Below are 18483 nucleotides of genomic sequence, written 5' to 3' on the forward strand. Positions count from 1 at the left end.
TCTTTTCTTTTCCTCCTGCCCTGTTAGAAAATAGGAAGCTCTGTCCACCAACCGCCACCCCATCATTTAACATTTTCCCTCCATGTAGGTGTTTATCAAAAGAATTTGAGATTAAACTAAGACCCTTTTGGAATTAAATTATCCTCTGGAAAATCAAAAGTCCAAGCTACGAACCCTCAGTGCCTGAGGCAAACTGTGTTGCTGTAACGTCAAACAGGCTTTTGTTATTTTAAGTGTGTTCCTGTCTGGGTCTTCACTCTTTGGCTTTGTTTCTAATCTGAGAGCAATTTACCACCACCCTGATTTAGAAAGACAACCAACTGAAGTTAGAAAATACCTGACAACATCTGCCAAAAGCCATTCCTGGTGCTAAGCCTGTGAAGAGAACTTTTGGAAATGACGAGATTATAGTTAGCTATCTGACTTTAAAAAGATCGGCTTTTAAAAAAGATGATGAGCCGGGCACGATTAACTCTTAACTCAGTAGGCAAGAAATATCCTCTTCTTTCGATCACTTAAATCAGCTTATATTCTGATGCTAAGTCCCAGCAGCCTCATGAGAAGATTCTATGCCCATGACAATTGGGATCTCTCCCCAGGGTCTCTCCCAGGAGACGCATGAGATCCTGGAGGCTTCCTTGGTCCCTGCAGATGAAGAGAGAAGGCTTCCATCCTCCAGTATATCCTGGTTGCTACTGGCATCAGCACTGCAAAAACCTTGTGTGGTCAGTTACATCCCAGAAGTGTGTGTGTATGTGTGTGTGTGTGTGTGTGTGTGTGTGTGTGTGATATTTGGGCACTGACAGTTTGGCGATGCTGTGGGCTACGCAAACGCCACCCATGACATGGAGAGACCACCTCTAGATGCCTACTCGATTCAAGGACAACACACCATTTCTGCACTCGGTCTGGCTGGAAATATGTTTTGTGTGTTTTTTTGTTTGTTTGTTGCTTTTAATAATATTTTATGAGCCAGGAAATCCCACTCTTAGTGCTCTGACTCCTGTAAAACCATCACAACAGCAGCAGCATCTCTGAGATCTAACCTCTACCAAGAGAAGCAGAAGTAATTGCAAGTGCTATTATTGCTCGAGTTCCCCAGGCCCCTCTCTGCTTCTTGACTCCTAGCTCCAGAGCTCCGCCTTTCCCATCTAGAGGTCCTTGTATGTATGATCTCCTCTGGACCTGAACCTTATGGCCAACGTAGGCTTCCAAAGGCTGTTGTGCTCTCTTCCAGGTCAAAGTTCTTAAGGCAACAAGTGACAAAGTCTGGCACCTCTGGAAATATGGTGCTAATATTGGGGAAAATCAGAATGGATATTTAAAGCAAATTTGATGTCTCCAGTTTCTCAGCATATGTTTGGACATGCATATGGCAGACAAATCAGCTTTTGTTGATGGAAAACATACTTCTTCTTGGTCCAGCTTCCATGTGTGACCACAGGATATTTGCTCAATTGAGATTGAGAATATGGTAGCCTCCGCTTTACAACCCGAGGGCATCCCAGAGGCTTTAGCTGTTCCAAGCAGTGTTAGTGAAATTTAGTGACAGCAAGCAGGTGCACCATGTAACTCTAGAGTTCCGTGCAGGTAGACTCTGTGTGCAGGTGGGGCACACTTGAGGCCAGGTGCTGCCCCAGATAGAGACGAGAGCTGCAACATGGGTGTCAGGATTAGTAAGATAAGGGTGCTTGCTTGGTTGTGTTAAGGAGTTTGGTGAACGTTGTGAAAGCTGGGTCTACAGGACAGTGTTGTGTGTGCATCAGTGTCATGGAAGTCCGCGGCCTATTTTTCAAGGAAGCTACAAAGCCCCCGATGCATTCGACACCTTTTCAAGGTTTGTTTTTTGCCAATGGACTTTGCAAGGCTCCAAACATCACTACTTATACGGAGAAGGCACAGCTCTGAACCATATTCTTTAATGCTGGAGAACCTGAAGAGAAGTTTGTCTGACATAATTTTCATTGACTTGTGGAAGCATTAACACCTTATCTGCTTTGTAAATGCAAAGAGAAGATCAACACTCTGCTATCCATTCTCCTTATCAGACACTTAGCAAATGAAAAAGCCAAAGATGCTACTGAGATCATCAACTGTTGAAGTGCTTCTGAGCCTCTCTGATCTTCTTAGGATGCTCGGCGGAATGTCAACTGCTAGACCGCCCCAGCCTCTAGTCTTAGGGTCCCCACTGGAGCTGTGTGATAAATAAGGAAGACAGAGAAAGACTTGCAGATTCAAAACTGCCTTTGAAGGGCTCTTGGACGAATGTTTATTCAGAAGTGTTGAATCAGATTTTATTGTAGTTTGTGAGCATGCTCCTTAGTATAAGTTATGCACATTTCAAAGAAACAGACTGCAAGACACCATAAATCAGCTCTTTTTCAAGTTTCTAAAATGCCATTTTATGCTCAGAAGCTGTGGAGTAGAATTTTTGTGGACCTAGTCACTTTTTAAAATAAAGAATTAGATGAATAGAGTCCCCAAAGCAGTCAGGGCACGCGACTGATTTGCACAGTGGATCCCTATGTGGATTCATTGTTTGTGAATTCCACTGAAGCCACACAATCGCTAAACCCCTGGGCAGTGGGAAGCAACATAGCAGGTTTGCTCTGCCCCATCCCACCCAGAGTGTGTCTGCCCAGAAGGATTGTGAGAAGCCAGATGGGGATCTGCCACTTATACCTGTCAGTTCCCGTGCATCTTACAGGATTTCAGCATAAACTTCCCTGTTATGTGTGAATAGAGGATTTGAAGATATATGATTTTCTTTCCACATGGCTTCTAAAAACATACCCACTCACTGCTGATATTCAAGGGGGAAAAAATGATCTGTTCAAACACAGGAAGGAGGAAGACAGCTTTGCAGACCAGAGAGAGCTTATCTCAACCTATGATCCGCCCTTTTCCCAAGCAGTGAATCACTGTCCTAGTCACTTAAATTCTACACCTTTTCCCTTGTGCAGCCTCTAAAGCAGAGGTCCGGGAAGACATGACCTCACTCTCGGTAGAAATTTTTATTAAGTTTTGCAGCTAATGCAATTCTGTTTTGGAATTTACATACACACATATGTTCATGCACACAACCCTACCTGAGCATGCACACACACATCTCACCCTTTTTTTTTTTTTTTTTTTTGAGATGGAGTGCAATGGCATGATCTTGGCTCTTGGCAACCTCCACCTCCTGGGTTCAAGCAATTCTCCTGCCTCAGCCTCCTGAGTAGCTGGGATTACAGGTGTGCTCCACCACGCACAGCTAAGTTTTGTATTTTTGGAAGAGATGGGGTTTCACCATGTTAGCCAGGCTGGTCTCAAACTCCTGACCTCAGGTGATCCACCCACCTCCATCTCCCAAAGTGCTGGGATTACAGGCATGAGCTACTGTGCCCGGCCCCTACCTCTCTTGTCTTAGGGGCTACTCTATGGGTCCAGGGCAGGTTGGGTCCTCCTTCCCCAACCCGGTTTCCTTCTAGCAGCAATTCTGTTTTGTGTCTTTATATAGAGACTCAACCTTGTAAGAATTCATCTAAAGGGAAGAGCATTCATTTACTTTAAATGTTATAAAAATCAAGCAATATAACCCACCAGGAAACACTGACAGGCCACATGGAATGACTAAGGTAGTGACACAGAAAATCACATCATGACAGTAATGTCCACGTTATGAGATCTCACTCTGGTTCTCCTGTTCTGTACAGGATCATCAGGCCTTTCACCAGGTGTCTGCAAACGTGTTCTCTCCAGGAATCAGCAAGCTATGCTCTGACATTTTTCGTCTCTGATTTGTAATGTGTTAAATTCCTCTCATTTAATTATCACTAAAAAGTGGCTTCCCTGCAAATACGTTTCATGTCACCTCACATTCTCGCAGTCATGTTAATTAATTTGACTATAGTTGAGCTGCACTGGTGATGGTATTTGAATCTCCTTTCTTGCCCTAAATCATATAAAATGCCAACAGGGCACAGGCTGTGTTGCTTTCTCAGGTCAGAAATGCATCAAGCTTTTATTGAGAACATTCCCAAGTGACCTGTGAATCACTTGCAGCAGCTCTGTGACCCTGGCCTGGAGGACATAATTATCTTTATAGCTTTCTGACTGAGCATCTGTCTCTTTTTTGTTAAACATATGTCCATTGTCTGTGAGACAGAAAGCTCCCTGCCACCCCTTGGCCTTGTACACAGCACAGGCAGATGACAGAAGGGTTCTTTTTTGAGATGGAGTCTTGCTCTGTCACCCAGGATGGAGTGCAGTGGCGTGATCTCGGCTCACTGCAAGCTTCGCCTCCCGGATTCACGCCATTCTCCTGCCTCAGCCTCCCGAGTAACTGGGACTACAGGCACCATCCACCACGCTTGGCTAATTTTTTGTATTTTTAGTAGAGACAGGGTTTCACCATGTTGGTTAGGATGGTCTCAATCTCCTGACCTTGTGATCCGCCTGCCTCGGCCTCCCAAAGTGCTGGGATTACAGGTGTGAGCCACCGCGCCCGGCCGACAGAAGGGCTCTTTAGCAATAAAACTTGAGGCAGGGAAAGAGATACATTATTTTGCACAAAAATGAACAAAAGAGACTAAACAGTCTTTAATTTGGGAAGTGTAAAGAGGTTGGCTCTGTCTGAAATAATCCACTTTGAGGCCAGTGCTCAGGGGTCTTGCCTCCCCTGAAGATCCTGAGCTCTGTGCTGGGTTATGTTGAGGAGAGATATGAGGCTTTCATCTAGGATAGGACTACTGATTGCAAGATACCTGCTAGAGGACCAAAGAAGGGTTTCTAGAGATGAGTCAAGGAATATTTAGATGCCGGATGTCTACACAGTTAAGAAGAGAAGTGACAATGTCCCCAGAAGAGAAATAATGAGGCTTAGATTTTCCCTTAGTGCTGGACTGAGGGTGTGAAGAGGATCAAGAAGAGATGTATGCTCCACTCGAGAGCCACTGGATACAGTGGATAGCAGAGAAGGTGCTTTTACAGCTGAGCAAGATGTTTGTTTACTGGGTCAATTTCCATATGAGATCCCATGAGCAAGTAGGAGAGGGGGAAGCCTCAGAGAGCAGCTTATAATCCCACAGTGACCTATGAAAATGGTTTAGAGAATGTGGTATTGAAAGAGAAGGTCCATGATAAGCCATACACTGGAAGAGCTGGCAGAAGGACTCAGGCAGATATTGGATTCAATGGTGGCTTCTCAAAAACCATGGCCCGAGGACCTGGGTCGGCAGTAAGTCTGAGGAGGCAGCCCTTGCTGAGTGCTGTCAAGTACCAAAGGCCTGAGATGGTTATGTGAGTTCCACTGGGGTACTTGAAGTTGGGAGTTCAGCCCAGAATGGAGGAGGAAGGTCAGAGGCTGAGGAGCAAGGCAGAATGCTTCAGAGCTGCATGGGACGAAGGTTGAAAGTCAGGAAGGAAGCACCTGTTTGATGCATGATGGTTCTTATTTCTAGAGTAAGACTTGGTGAGGGCACAGGATGTCCAAAAAGCGTTTGCTGAATCCTTGGCCACCTGGTAGCTACAGGCCAAGCAGTGGACACCACCACTCACAATCTCTGATTATGTTCCCAGCTCATTTTGCCCTGGGGTAATTTCCTACCCAGCTTTCTTGACCAGCATCAGGCTGCATGCTATCTCCTTTAGAACCCTCAGAATTTTTCTGGCCTTTGTGGCTGAGGGAAAGAGGAGAAAACCAGTGGTGCTAACATTGTATACATGTCCTGTGCAGCTGGGCTGCCATCTGCCACAGTGGTGGGCAGTGCAGTGTCACCAGAGAGCCATGGTGAGAAGCAGGAGCATGCTCTCAGACAAGGGACACTGAATTTCCCCAAGTCCCCACCCTCTCCAGGGGATGAGCCGTGTGCTCTCTACTGACTCACACTTCTGTCCTCAGTGGGATAATTCCTCCTGGATAGAAATTCAGATGGGCTGGGACCTGCCAGGGAAAGGGTTTGGGGCTTCAGACAGGAGAGCTTGCCCCCAGCTGACCTGGGCTTAACCCTGTCCAGGCGCGACCCCCAACCCCAGTGGTCATGAGCAGCTCCCAGCTCTCTCGATACAGGGATTGGCGAGGCCCTAGGGACACACGCCAGCTAAGATTAAGCAGGAGCCTCCCACCGGGATGCTAAAAACTGGAACCTCATATCATTGCCAATTTTCAGTCAGTCCATGGGGTAACTTGTGATCCTCACCCTCTGCAAACTCACAAGGGGTCTCCGTGCGGCTTCGGTGCAGAGCTACCATGTTGGGGTGCCTTGAGGTAACCGGAGCCTCTGCTTTGGTGGTGTTTCTGGACCTTGTTGCCCAACTGGAGCAAGGACTTTTTGGGGATCCCCTTCTTGGGGTTGCTGGGGGTAACATTGGCCCTTTCCTAGTGACACAGGCATCCATGTGAGTGCACCCATCAGAGGGAGGCCTGCTCACCCCATGGGTTGTTCATGACTCTTCAGCGAAGGGTATCTGGAGGCAGAAGACATCAGAATTTTCATGTTCCCTGAAGTCTGAGAAATGAAAGGAGATATGAAAAGAAAACTACATACGATGACCTGAGGGCTCTTCCTTCATGAGCAGTGCTTTAGGGAACCTCCTAGGAAGTCTGCTGTCGGATACAGACACATCAAACAATCACATCAAAAAACTCCAACCACATCTCAGTGAGGGGCCTGTGGCAGGAAACATTAACAAGTGTGATGAGTGTGGAATGTCAGACTGTGAACCAACCGCACATAGCACACCAATGCCCTGGGTCCTTAGTCTATCCTAGACTTTTGGATAGAATTGCTCATTAATCCATGCCATCATTTTGCAGAGTAAACACAGCAGACAGGAAAACCTGCTACTGATATGTGGAAGGGCAGCTTGTTGGTTGATAGAGCAACACTTCAGGGGTCTGGGGCTTGGCCTCAGATGAACTGGGATCTTGAGGAGAGCTGATCCCATCAGCCCTGACTTCATCTGGGGAAAGGTCAGAGGAAGCCAGGGGGCTGACATCATGGGAAATTGTTTTGACAGCTGCAGAGCTGACACATGACTCCAGTTCTTCAGGTACAAAGTGATAGATGGAAGGTGTGTGGGCATTGAGTGGTTCAGTGGTTCTCATACCTCATTGTGTGGCAGCGTGATCTGGAAGCTTTGTGAAAACATACTTGCTGAGGCCCACCTGCAGAGGTTCTGACTCAGAAGGCCTGAGGAGGGCCCAAGTGATTGCTTTTCTAACTAGCTCCAGGTGACATGGATGTCGCTGGTCTGGGGACCATACTTGGAGAATCATTGACATGTGTCATAAGAACGCATAACAGCAAAAGCCCTTGGCCACTTGGGGGCCTGTCTAACAGAGAGGCCCAATGCTTCTCTCTCGTAAAGTAGATATATTAGCACTGAAAATGACTCAGATAAGAGAAGAGCCATGTAAGACGGCAAGCTCCCCATGCATGTCCCCCTGAAGGCCGGCATGGATATTGCTGAGCTATGAGAGGGGCCACCTTGACCCAGGGCAATTCCAGAGCCTGGGCCCTCCCCAGAGGCTATTGAGATGCTGGCCTTGGATCCCTCACACTGAGCCCATTGCTGCTGCCATGGACCAGATGTGGGATAGTCAGACAGCTCTTGAAGAAGGTGGATCCAGACTACCTCCCCGGTCATTAAGCTTCTGCCCACAGAAAACACTGATAATAAGGGAATGCTATGGAGATTACTGCAGCACCTGCTCTGGAAATAGTGGATGCTGCCTGAGAAATACCACCCCACAATGCTAATTAATTTAGAAAATAGAAAGGATTGATGTTAAAGATAAATGGGATATAGTTCTTTAGGGATAGAAGCTAGATAGAGAAGAAAATAAACTTGACCCCCTGCACCTTCCGTATTTGGTGGAAAGTGTTTCTCACAAAATCCACCCATGCCAAGTTGATTCAGACCAGAAAATCCAGAAAAATAACCCCCATTGTCATTTGTCTGCAAAGCTTGACTTCAAAGCAACAAAATGTATTTGCTGCAATGATTACTGTATATGTCCAGAAAAAAGTCTTCCAGCCTAGCACAGAGATTGTAGGAAAATCATTCTAGGGGCTTGTATTCCTCACCTAGATCTGTTCAGACCCAGGGAAGTTCTGGGGAGACAGTCATGATGAAATGAGATGCATTTGGTGGAAATAGAAGATGGGAGAGAGGGCCCTTCTATGATGCAACTCAAGGCAGAGAAGGAGACAGCTACTTTTACCAGAATAGACACAGAATCTTTAAGAATTTAATCCTAGTCCTGTGAAATCTTTTAGACAATCGCTTTGATCCCAAACAAAACCAAGAACCTCTTTCTTTATTCCAACAGCCTCAGAATACGAAGTGCCCTGCCTTCCATCCCAGCCCACCCAGACAAGCAACTGAACAAAGTGGAATATGGGCTAGTGTTGAGAAGCCATTCTCAAACCTCCACCAGGGGCTTGCTACATGACTGGGGACTCCATGCAAGAAAATGTGGGGCTCCTCATTCACAAAATAGAAAAAGGTATAATTAAAGGTATTAAAATGTAAAGCATTTTCTTTTAAAACTATTTTATTACTGATAAAACTTGAGGGTGATTAGTCAATATACTACAGAGAAACAGAACCAATAGGTTAATAGGTAGATGATAGATAGATAATAAATAGGTAGACAGATAGATAGAAGATAGATGGTGATATAGTTTTGCTGTGTCCCCACCAAAATCTCATCTTGAATTGTAGTTCCCAGAATCCCCATGTATCATAAGAGGGACCCAGTGGGAGGTAATTGAATCATGGGGTGGTTAACCCCATGCTGTTCTCATGATAGTGAGTGAGTTCTCACGAGATCTGATGGTTTTATAAGGGACTTTTCTCCGTTTGCTTTGGCACTTCTCATTCCTACCGCCACATGAAGAAAGATGTGTTTGCTTTCTCTTCTGCCGTGATTATAAGTTACCTGAGGTATCCCCAGCCCTGTGAGTCAATTTAACCTCTTTCCTTTATAAATTACCCAGTGTCGGGCAGCTCTTTATAGCAGCGTGAGAACGAAGTAATACAGGTAAATAGTAAGAGGAAGAGGAGAGATACACAATAAGGAATTGGTTCACACAATTACAGAGGCTAGGAAGTTGCAAGATCTGCAGTCAGCAGTTACAGACCCAGGAGAGCTGACAATGTAAGTTCCAGTCCAAGTTTGAATTTGAGGTCAGAAGGAGACCAATCTCCCAGTGCAAAGACAGGCAAAGAAAGCAAGTTCTGTCACTCCACCTTTTGTGTTCTATTCAGGCCTTCAACAGGTTGGATGATGCTCACCTGCACCTGGGAGGGCCATCTGCTAATTCCAATGCTGATCTTATCCAGAAACACCCTCACAGACACACCTAGAAATAATGTTTAACCAAATATCTTGGCACCTTACAGCATAGTTGGGTTGTAACAAAAAATTAACCTTCACAAGGGGTAATAGTTTTACCTGAGTAACAACAAAATTCACTTGCAAATTCATACATACACGTGTATATATATATACATATATACATATGAAAAAATTATATATAATGGTGTCATAATTTAATATAATAAGTAATACTTTATTAATGTGAGATTTTGATTGATTGTAAGATTTTCCTGACCTGTTATTCTGAAATTCATTTATTATCTCATCAAAATTTTTACTTTTGCAACTTGTTTATGATTGATATAACTGAAAGCAATGTCAGTCAATGTTGGCAAATACAAGGTTGCAAATAATTTTTACTCATGGCTTAAAGTGAGAAGGACCTTTATGCTAATGAAAATATTAGTGAGGCTGTTAAGTGTGTTTATGGGAATTGTGGAAATTTTCCATAAAATGTTGGGATAAATTTCTTATAACTGATTTCAATATATTAATTTTAGGCCATCTGGAGTTGATGATTCCTATGGAATAAATTTTCTAAAATGGTTTAACTCTTGACACAAACAGGCTTCATGCAATTCTGAATTTAACTTCAAATGTAAATGCAATGGCAACATTCTCTGATAGCTTGCGGAGGGTGTACAAGAAGAGCTAAGTGGCTTTGTGATCTGTATATAACTCAAAGGCCTGTTTTGCAAGTTATCCTTGTAACTTCAGTTACAGGGAAAAGTTAATTCCAACGTTGTTCTCTTCTTCATAATGGATTCATCAGAAGCCCCTTATGGAAATGTGGCTTTTTCTGTTCAATGTGATAAACTTTAAATGTAATTTTTATTTCTGGTACTACGAGTATTTGCTTTGCAATGTTGCGGCAATTTTTAAAACTATGGGTTCTAAATCCTTACAAGGAACCTCATAACTTTCTGATATGCATTATTGCAATGCCCATATGTGCACTTTTTGGTAACAATTTGCTGACAAAATTGACATCATGAGCCCTGGAGTTTCCTCCTCTGAGTCCACTGTTGCCTGTGAAGAATTCCTCCTTTGTCTACTGCCACAGTACCCGCCAGCAGTGTGGACCCAGATCCCAGACCGGCCTGTGCTTTTGAGGCCCCACCATTCCCCGGACTGCCCCAGGTGTGCTCAGGGCAACTGCTTGGTGCACACACTGCAGCCATGTTCCTAAGCCTGAGCCTGTGTGTGGAAGCGTTGTCCCCAAGCGGAGCTTTTCACTCATGTGTGTTCTCCAATGTCCATGCCTCACTTAAAAAACATGAGTTTAAAGGTAAAAGTTTAAGTTAGTTCCAATGAATCTCAGCAAATCATTAAACCAACATGGGGACCCTCCCGAGAGCAGGACCCTGCTGCAAGCCTATGATGCTTGCACAATTTGTAAGCCCATGAAGCTGTCCCTGCCACCACTCAGCATAGATTTTTAGAGCATTGGACTATTTGAACATCCATCTGAGATGCTGTGTGGGTTCTTGCACAGGTCACTATTCAACCACTCCTGGCTTGCATGAAAAAGGGCTTACATAAAGGTTACTTTGAATTTTGCCACACTATCTTCATTGAATTCTAGGCCTTCTCATACTTGGAGGATCATTACTAGTTTTCTCATTCCAGACACCCTAGTTCAAACATTGGCTAAGATGTGCTTACCATCAGTGCTCAGTCTAACTGCTGTTCCTTTGCAGCCACTTTGCACACATTGTGCCTGAAACCACCTATCATGGGAACCTGGATTTCTGACAATAAATTTAAACCAGGAAATAGCCATTGCGATCATACGGGTGGGCGAACAGGTCCATTTCAGGGCTACTATAGGCAAATCAGAGTTACAAACATAAAATTATAAAGATGAATTATATTTGTGCATTTTACTGTCTACATGATAATTATGCAAGCTTCTTTGTTAATATATGAGCTGCTGCTAAAAAGTTTCATTCCGCTTAATGGTAATGATGCTGTTGTCCAGTATAAACACATCTATAAATTGGAGATAATAATAAGCATTTCTTCAAATATATTTTTAGATACTTGCATGATACTTTTAGATACATGGAATATATCTTCACTAAATCAAAACAATGCATCTGAACATGAGGACTCATGCTGCAAAACTTGTTTCAGTGAGGATAAATATAACTCAGGGAAGAGAGCAGAATTAAAACTGTAAACACCACAGCACTGTCATTTGAACCCACTGCTGTAGACTAGTTTAGGATAATGTCCCTTAACAATACTATCTGGTCTCTCTGCAGCAAGGAACTTGCCTTTGTTAGCATTTGATTGGATTTGGGGTAACATACAAATTCAATATCTAAGTCAGAAGTTCAAAGCAGAAATACCCCTTGTGATTATACTCCTGCATTTCTAAGAAAAGAGATATTTCATATGGTGGGAAATGGTCATTGGGCACAATTCTAACTAGTTCATTTTTTCCCATCAGTTCATTTTGCAAGTGTTCAAACACAGAAAAGCCATGGCAGTGTGAACATGAACATGACCAGGACTCAGAACCTACCATTCATGTTACTACCCTTGCTTTGACTTACCTATTCATCCCTCCTTCCCTCTAGCCACCACCAGGCCACCTCACTTATTAATACATTTTAAAATAAGTTGTAGAGGTCAGTCCTCTTCACCCTAAATACTTTGGGGTACATATCATTGACTTGAGTTCAAGATGTACCTATTCTATGTTTTTTTCTAGTTAAAGTTACAGAGAGGGAAATGCACAAAACTTGAGGGGACCATTTCAATGAGTTTTGACAAATTTGGTATACACCTGTGTAACCGAATTCCCAAGAAGATATAGAACTTTGCCATCACTCCTGAAAGTTCCCTTAGGCTTTCCCCATCACTTCCAGCCACCACCAATGACAGGGCCACTTTTCTGGCCTTCTTCATTATTAATTAGGGTTGCCCATGAATCAGTTCATTTTCATCTTCCTTGTATAATCGAATATATAAAGGTTTACAGGCTTTGCTTTCAAACTAGAGAAACTTTAGTCGTTCATTGAATATTCATTTATTTTTTAATATTTAAGGATAATTTCTAATGATGTGTATGAGCAAAGCACAGTCTCCTGGGGGAGGCAGATTTTGGCAAAAGGGAGAGGATCTCTTGCTTCTCTCAAGGTAGCCTGGCTGTTTAGGAGAAAGAAAATAGGCAAATTCATCTGCTGAATATCCCCTGTGGGAAAATCAAAACAACTTCATCTTCTCCTTTACCCTGGCCTTCACTGTGTTTTCTTTTCTCACATCACTGGAAGGCAGAACATTTTTCTCCCCACAGCTCTGCTTGAGGTCTTTTCTATTTTGTGTTCAGAAGGTGCTTGCCAGAGACAAGGGGGTTCTCTGCAGGCTGCAGAATTTAATCAGCAAGAGTGAGGTGTTCCAGGATCCAGTGGCTTCTGAGACCTCACTTCCTAGAGAACACAGAGGACTTATCTTAGATCATTTCCAGCGGGCTGCCCTGGCAAGGCCAGAGATAGAAACACAGCCAGTAAGCAGCAAAATATGAGGGCCCTCAGCTCTCCTTCCTGTTTGTTTTGCTGGGCAGGTTGATCGAAACTGGAACATCAGGTCTGCCAAAACCCAAAACTGTTGGCCTAGAGTAGAGCTCCTACGATTCCATCAATTCCGAACTGCCATTGTTTTGCCATAAGGTACAAATATTGATTGACTTATTTACTCATTTATTTATTTATTTATTTGTTTGTTTGTTTATTCCAAATACTCATTGTCCCCCGGACCCCCTAAATGATCTTAACATTTTCTTTCTACCAGCGATGCAAGCCTAAAAGTAGCCCCTAATGCCTTCCTTCCTCACTGCAGCCAATCTACTGCTGACACCTGCCTGTGTGGCCTCTCTGGTACCTCTAGAATATGCTTATTTGTCTCTGTTTATTCATAAAATATAAGTCAGTGAGCATCTCTCGTGTCCCAGGGGTTTACGACGCAGTGGGGACACAGTGATACAGGAAGAAGAATAGGCTCATGCTCCCTGGAGATTACATTCTAGGGAGGAGAAAAACATGAACTCACAGAAGCAAACATTTGAGTACAGTAAGTCCTCACTTAATGTCATCAACTGGTTCTTGGAAACTGTGACTTTAAGCAAAATGATATACAACTAAACCAATTTTGCCATAAGCTAATTTATGTAAACAAGAGTTAAATTCCTATGACACATTTCTAGTCACAAAAACATCACCAAATTTCTAAATAAAGACCCAAACATGGCCTGGCGCAGTGGCTCATGCCTGCAATCCTAGCACTTTGGGAGGCTAAGGCAGGCAGATCGCTTGAGGTCAGGAGTTTGAAACCAGTCTGGCCAACATGAAGAAACCCCATCTCTACGAAAAATACAAAAAAGTTAGCTGGGCATGGTGGTGGGCACCTGTAGTCCCAGGTACTCGGGAGGCTGTGGCAGGAGAATCACTTGAACCCAGGAGGCGGAGGATGCAGTGAGCGGAGATTGTGCCACTGCACTCCAGCCTGGGTGACAGAGCGAGACTCTATAAGAAAAAAATAATAGAAAGACCCAAACACTTGTAATATTAAACACTGAAATACATGTGAGATATACACATATTTAAGATAATTTTTTATTCCATTTTTGGTGAATCAGCAAGGGACTGCAGTGGCAGTAGTGGTTGGTTAAATCAGGCAATAAGTGTTTGCAAGGCAAAAATTGTCAGGAGCACCTCCTACCACAACTCAGTTCAAAAGCAAGCAAGAACCAATCTGACGGGCCCGCTGAGCATCTTCGTACCTCATCGGTCCTTGTCACACATCTGCGTGATGATCATAGACCTTGCACATTTTTATTTTACAATAATTTGTATTCATCCTCTCATTCCTTTTTTGAGTCCTCTTATTTATTCCAATTTGTGGTAGTGGGTGGCCAGAGCCTGTCCCTGCAATGCAGGGTGAAAGGTGGAGCCCACCCTGGACAGGATGCCATCCATCATAGGGTGCACTCACACCCACCCATACCCGTTCACTCACACTGGGATGTGTGGACACACCCATCCACCTAACGGACGCACCTTTGTGATATGGGAGAAACCAGAGTACCCTGAGAAGAGCCACTTTCTCTGTAGGGAGAACTTGCAAACGCCACACATTCAGTGGCCCTTGGAAATCGGGAGCCACTTGTTTTTCTTATCAATGTTGTAACAAAACCATGCTGTTTGAGGCCCTGCTGAATCAGATCATGGCAAGTGTTGTGAATAAGAAATTCAAGACCAAAGGTCTGGCAACACCATGAGAAGAAGAGGGAGCAACAATATATAGAGTGGTGAAAGGAGGTCTTTTTGAGGTGAATATATTGGAACTAAGATTGAATGATGAGAAAGAGACAGTCATGTGATGATCTGGTTGGGAATTTCGGGTAGAGGGAATAGGTGCTGACACCTTACCTCTACCTACCATCATTCCTTCCCTAGCCCCATTAATGGGTCTACAAGGATGCATTCCCACTCACATCCACTGCATCCTTTGCGCTGATGCTCTGAAATGCAAGCCTGATTCCATCAGTTTCCAGGTCCTCCTGCTGTGCCTGTCAAAACACCCAATGGCTCTGTGTTGCTACTGCTCTTAGGGATAAATGTCCTTACCCTGGCAGCATGTGACCCGCTGGTCCAGGACCAGCCCATGCCTTCTTCTCCAGCCATGTGTCCACACCCTTCGGGCCCCACGAGCTGGTCAGCCTTCACGGCCATTGTACTTGCACACGTGCTGTTTTTCCTGTGGTCAGAGGCCCTTTTCACTTCTGTTTTCCTAGTAAATCCAGGCTCATCCTTTGGATTCCAGATTATTCCTCATTACCTCAGGAAAACCTTCCCTGAGGCATTTTTCTTGAATTAGATGACTCAACTGCATGTATTCAGGGCACGATGGTCTCCCTTACATAGCACTGATCACTCTGGAAATTTCCCATGCAATTTAGAATTATTTGATTAATGCCTGTCTATAAGATTCTGTTGTGTGGGGGATGTGCATGTGGTGTTTGTGTGTGTGGGAATATGTGTGTTGTATGGGGGATGTGTGTGTGTGTGTGTGTGTGTGTGCTGTGATGTGTATCTAGGAGAAAGAAGTGATAAATAATACTCAAGTCTCGGCAGTGTATATTTTATCAGCTGCTAGTAGAAGATGGATTGGGTTGGGTTTTTGTTTTTGACTTTTATTTTTATTTTTTAGGTTTTGCTATTACATTGTCCTAGGAGACTGTACAATTCTGCAAAAGTAATAAGTTATATTAAGTAATCTCAGAAGAATTCTGAAATAGAAGTGAATAAAAATTAAGTAAGGCAGTATTTAATAAGGAGGTTATTTTTTTTTTTTAATTTAAGCCCAAAACATATGAGGCACATATAAGAAGGCCCTTGGTAAATATTTTGAAGAAAAAAAAAGGTTTATTTCCTGCAGAAATTATTTTTGGTATTTATTGCAAAATAGAAAATCTAATTTTCTCAAAATTTTAAAACTGTTTCCATGACACAGCAACGTGGTGTGCAGAGCAGTCCTGGATGCCCATAGTATTTCCCTGGCTCTGCTCCCAGCCTCTCTGAAGCAGTGATTGCCCATTGATAGCTATGGAGTCCAAGGGTCATTTCCTGTGTACTGCCAGAGTCCCTGTGGCCACCTGCTGGTGACCAAGGAAGACCTCACAGCTGGGCTAGCTTGCTGATGGATGTCAGCAGCACCATCCCTGCCTCCCCTTCCCCGCTGCTGGGTACAACCCTTCAAGGCTGCAGGCGCCAGTCTTGCCGTAGCCTTCTGCTCTCAGTATTCTGTGGAGGTTTTCATAAAGAGATATTTTGTTTTCAGTAACACTTGGGTTGGACTGGACTGGATTGGACTGGAAACAATTTAAGCAAAAGTTATTTTTTATATAGACTCCAAATGACACTTTCTGACCCTCACTTGCCAGGTCAAATCACAATATAAATTTCTTGGAAATCAATTTCTTTTGTTTTTTTTTTCTGGAGACAGAGTCTCGCTCTGTTGCCCAGGCTGGAGTGCAGTGGCCTGATCTCAGCTCACTGCAAGCTCCGCCTCCTGGGTTCATGCCATTCTCCTGCCTCAGCCTCCTGAGTAGCTGGGACTACAGGCGTCCGCCACCACGCTCAGCTAATTTTTTGTATTTTTAGTAGAGACAGGGTCTCACCGTGTTAGCCAGGATGATCTCGATCTCCTGACCTCGTGATCCACCCACCTTGGCCTCCCAAAGTGATGGGATTACAGGCATGAGCCACTGCACCTGGCTGGAAATCAATTTTTTAAATAGTTGACAAAGATCTTTCCAAAACGATTTTCCCCACAAATCCGAGGCAAACAACTCCCATTTTGTCTCTTGTCCATGAACACAACATGAAATTGTGAAACTGGTTTCAGTTAGAGATGAGTTTCTGAAACTAGCCCACGAGGCACATGTAGATCAGAAATCAGAAGTTTATGCAAACATCTACAGTGTGTGCAGCTGTCTGCAGATGACACTGACAAAGGCCCTAAGACCTACTATCTTCTCCCTTCCACCTTCAACAACTTCCCTTGTTATCCTCTTATTACAACGTGTTTACCTACAAACATAAAACAAAGGTATACTAGGATTCTAACATAAAAGTTTGCATCTCTCTATATTTAAGCTGGCCTAAGTTACTATTAATTTATGTCCACTTGTTGATTCATTACTCATTTTGTAAGAGTCTATAAGAAGATATAGGCCTGAGTCTTTTTGAGTGAGGCTAAAGCTCCCAAAGAAAGAGTAGGCCGTAAAGAGGAGAGAGAGAGGCAGGGAAAATGCTGTGTGTCCACTATCATTTCTACAGATCACTGCAGAGCTATAATTATCTATAATACTGAAAGCTTCAGAAGGAGAAATTTCAGATCACTTTTACAAAACCTCTAGGACTAGAATTATCTGCAATACTTATAAAGATTTCAGCAAAAAAAAAAATCAGACAAAAACCATCTTTTTCTTTTGGCATAGCTAAGCCTGAAGCCTTGTGAATCTCAGCATGTACGTGTTGCTTAATTGTTGTGAGGGAGAAAATGAGGTCCAAAGACTGTCACATTTCAGCTTTCTGGGGAGTAGAGACGTCAATTCACATCAGCAAAAGATAAAGAGGTCACCTCTCAATCTGAGAGAACATCTCACCTTTCTGGGCACTCTGTAGATATGGCTCCCGGGAGGGTTGTGTTTTGGTTCTGGACGCATTATATTACAGCTACAGGAATTACATGTTGTGTTATTGCCTTTCATCACTAAAGGAAACCCAACATTTCCCTAATGGGAAACAATTGCCTCGGGAGTGGGCTCCGACAACTTTATTGTGCTGAGGAATGTAGCTGTGCTCAACCTGTAATTACAGTGACACAATAAACCTTGGCAAACGCCAGAGCAACCTTTGTTGTTGCCATGCATGCCTTCTGTCTGTTCTACCAGTGCTCCTGGGGACGTGCTTCCTCACATGCTTCAAATGCCCCATAAACAGAGCAGCCAGAGTCCTTATTTAAGTAGATGGACCCAGGCCCACCCTGGACTTATTACGTCAGAATCTCCAGGGAAGGACCGGAGAATTCAAGGTGGACATTTTTACTATTCACCAGTTTGGGAAATGTTGAGGGATCCCTGAAGTCCCTTTGAGGTCTAACTGCGCATGATAATCTCAGCTCATTGATCTCAATAAGATAAAAAATAAAGTAAACAAACAAAAAACAGGTAAATGAGAGTGACCCAAAAACACTTTTCAAAACACAGATTCCTTTTTCCTACAACCCTTGGTCATACTGAGATCTCTAAGGGCACTGGGTCTATTTGTGCTTTGAAATGACCTCCAGATTTGAGACAGCCTGTGATGGCAGCTCATATCTGGTGCTCATTTATAGAGCACCCATCATTTATTTATTTGGAAACTTTTGAGTGTTTATACTGTTCCCTACCCTCACATGTTTCCTATCCAATAAAACTACCATCACATAGTAGAGTTTTAAGCTCCACAGATAATAGAATAAGATATTACAAGTTTCTTGACCTCATGACACAATCTGGTTAGAAAAGCAAGAAAAATTCCTTAAAGTCAAGTAAAAGTGCA

At 43.5% G+C, this 18483-nt stretch overlaps 2 annotated features.

Annotated features, from left to right (window-relative positions):
• Positions 1–668: an enhancer, noted in NCBI's record as "NANOG-H3K27ac-H3K4me1 hESC enhancer chr9:93204958-93205625 (GRCh37/hg19 assembly coordinates)". NCBI's record gives its function as "activates a minimal SCP1, AML or CMV promoter by ChIP-STARR-seq in naive H9 embryonic stem cells {active_cell/tissue: H9 hESC(naive)}" and the evidence as "EXISTENCE:reporter gene assay evidence [ECO:0000049][PMID:30033119]".
• Positions 17434–17935: an enhancer, noted in NCBI's record as "NANOG hESC enhancer chr9:93222391-93222892 (GRCh37/hg19 assembly coordinates)". NCBI's record gives its function as "activates a minimal SCP1, AML or CMV promoter by ChIP-STARR-seq in primed H9 embryonic stem cells {active_cell/tissue: H9 hESC(primed)}" and the evidence as "EXISTENCE:reporter gene assay evidence [ECO:0000049][PMID:30033119]".

This window comes from Homo sapiens, chromosome 9, assembly GCF_000001405.40.
Source record: "Homo sapiens chromosome 9, GRCh38.p14 Primary Assembly".
Taxonomy (NCBI): domain Eukaryota; kingdom Metazoa; phylum Chordata; class Mammalia; order Primates; family Hominidae; genus Homo; species Homo sapiens.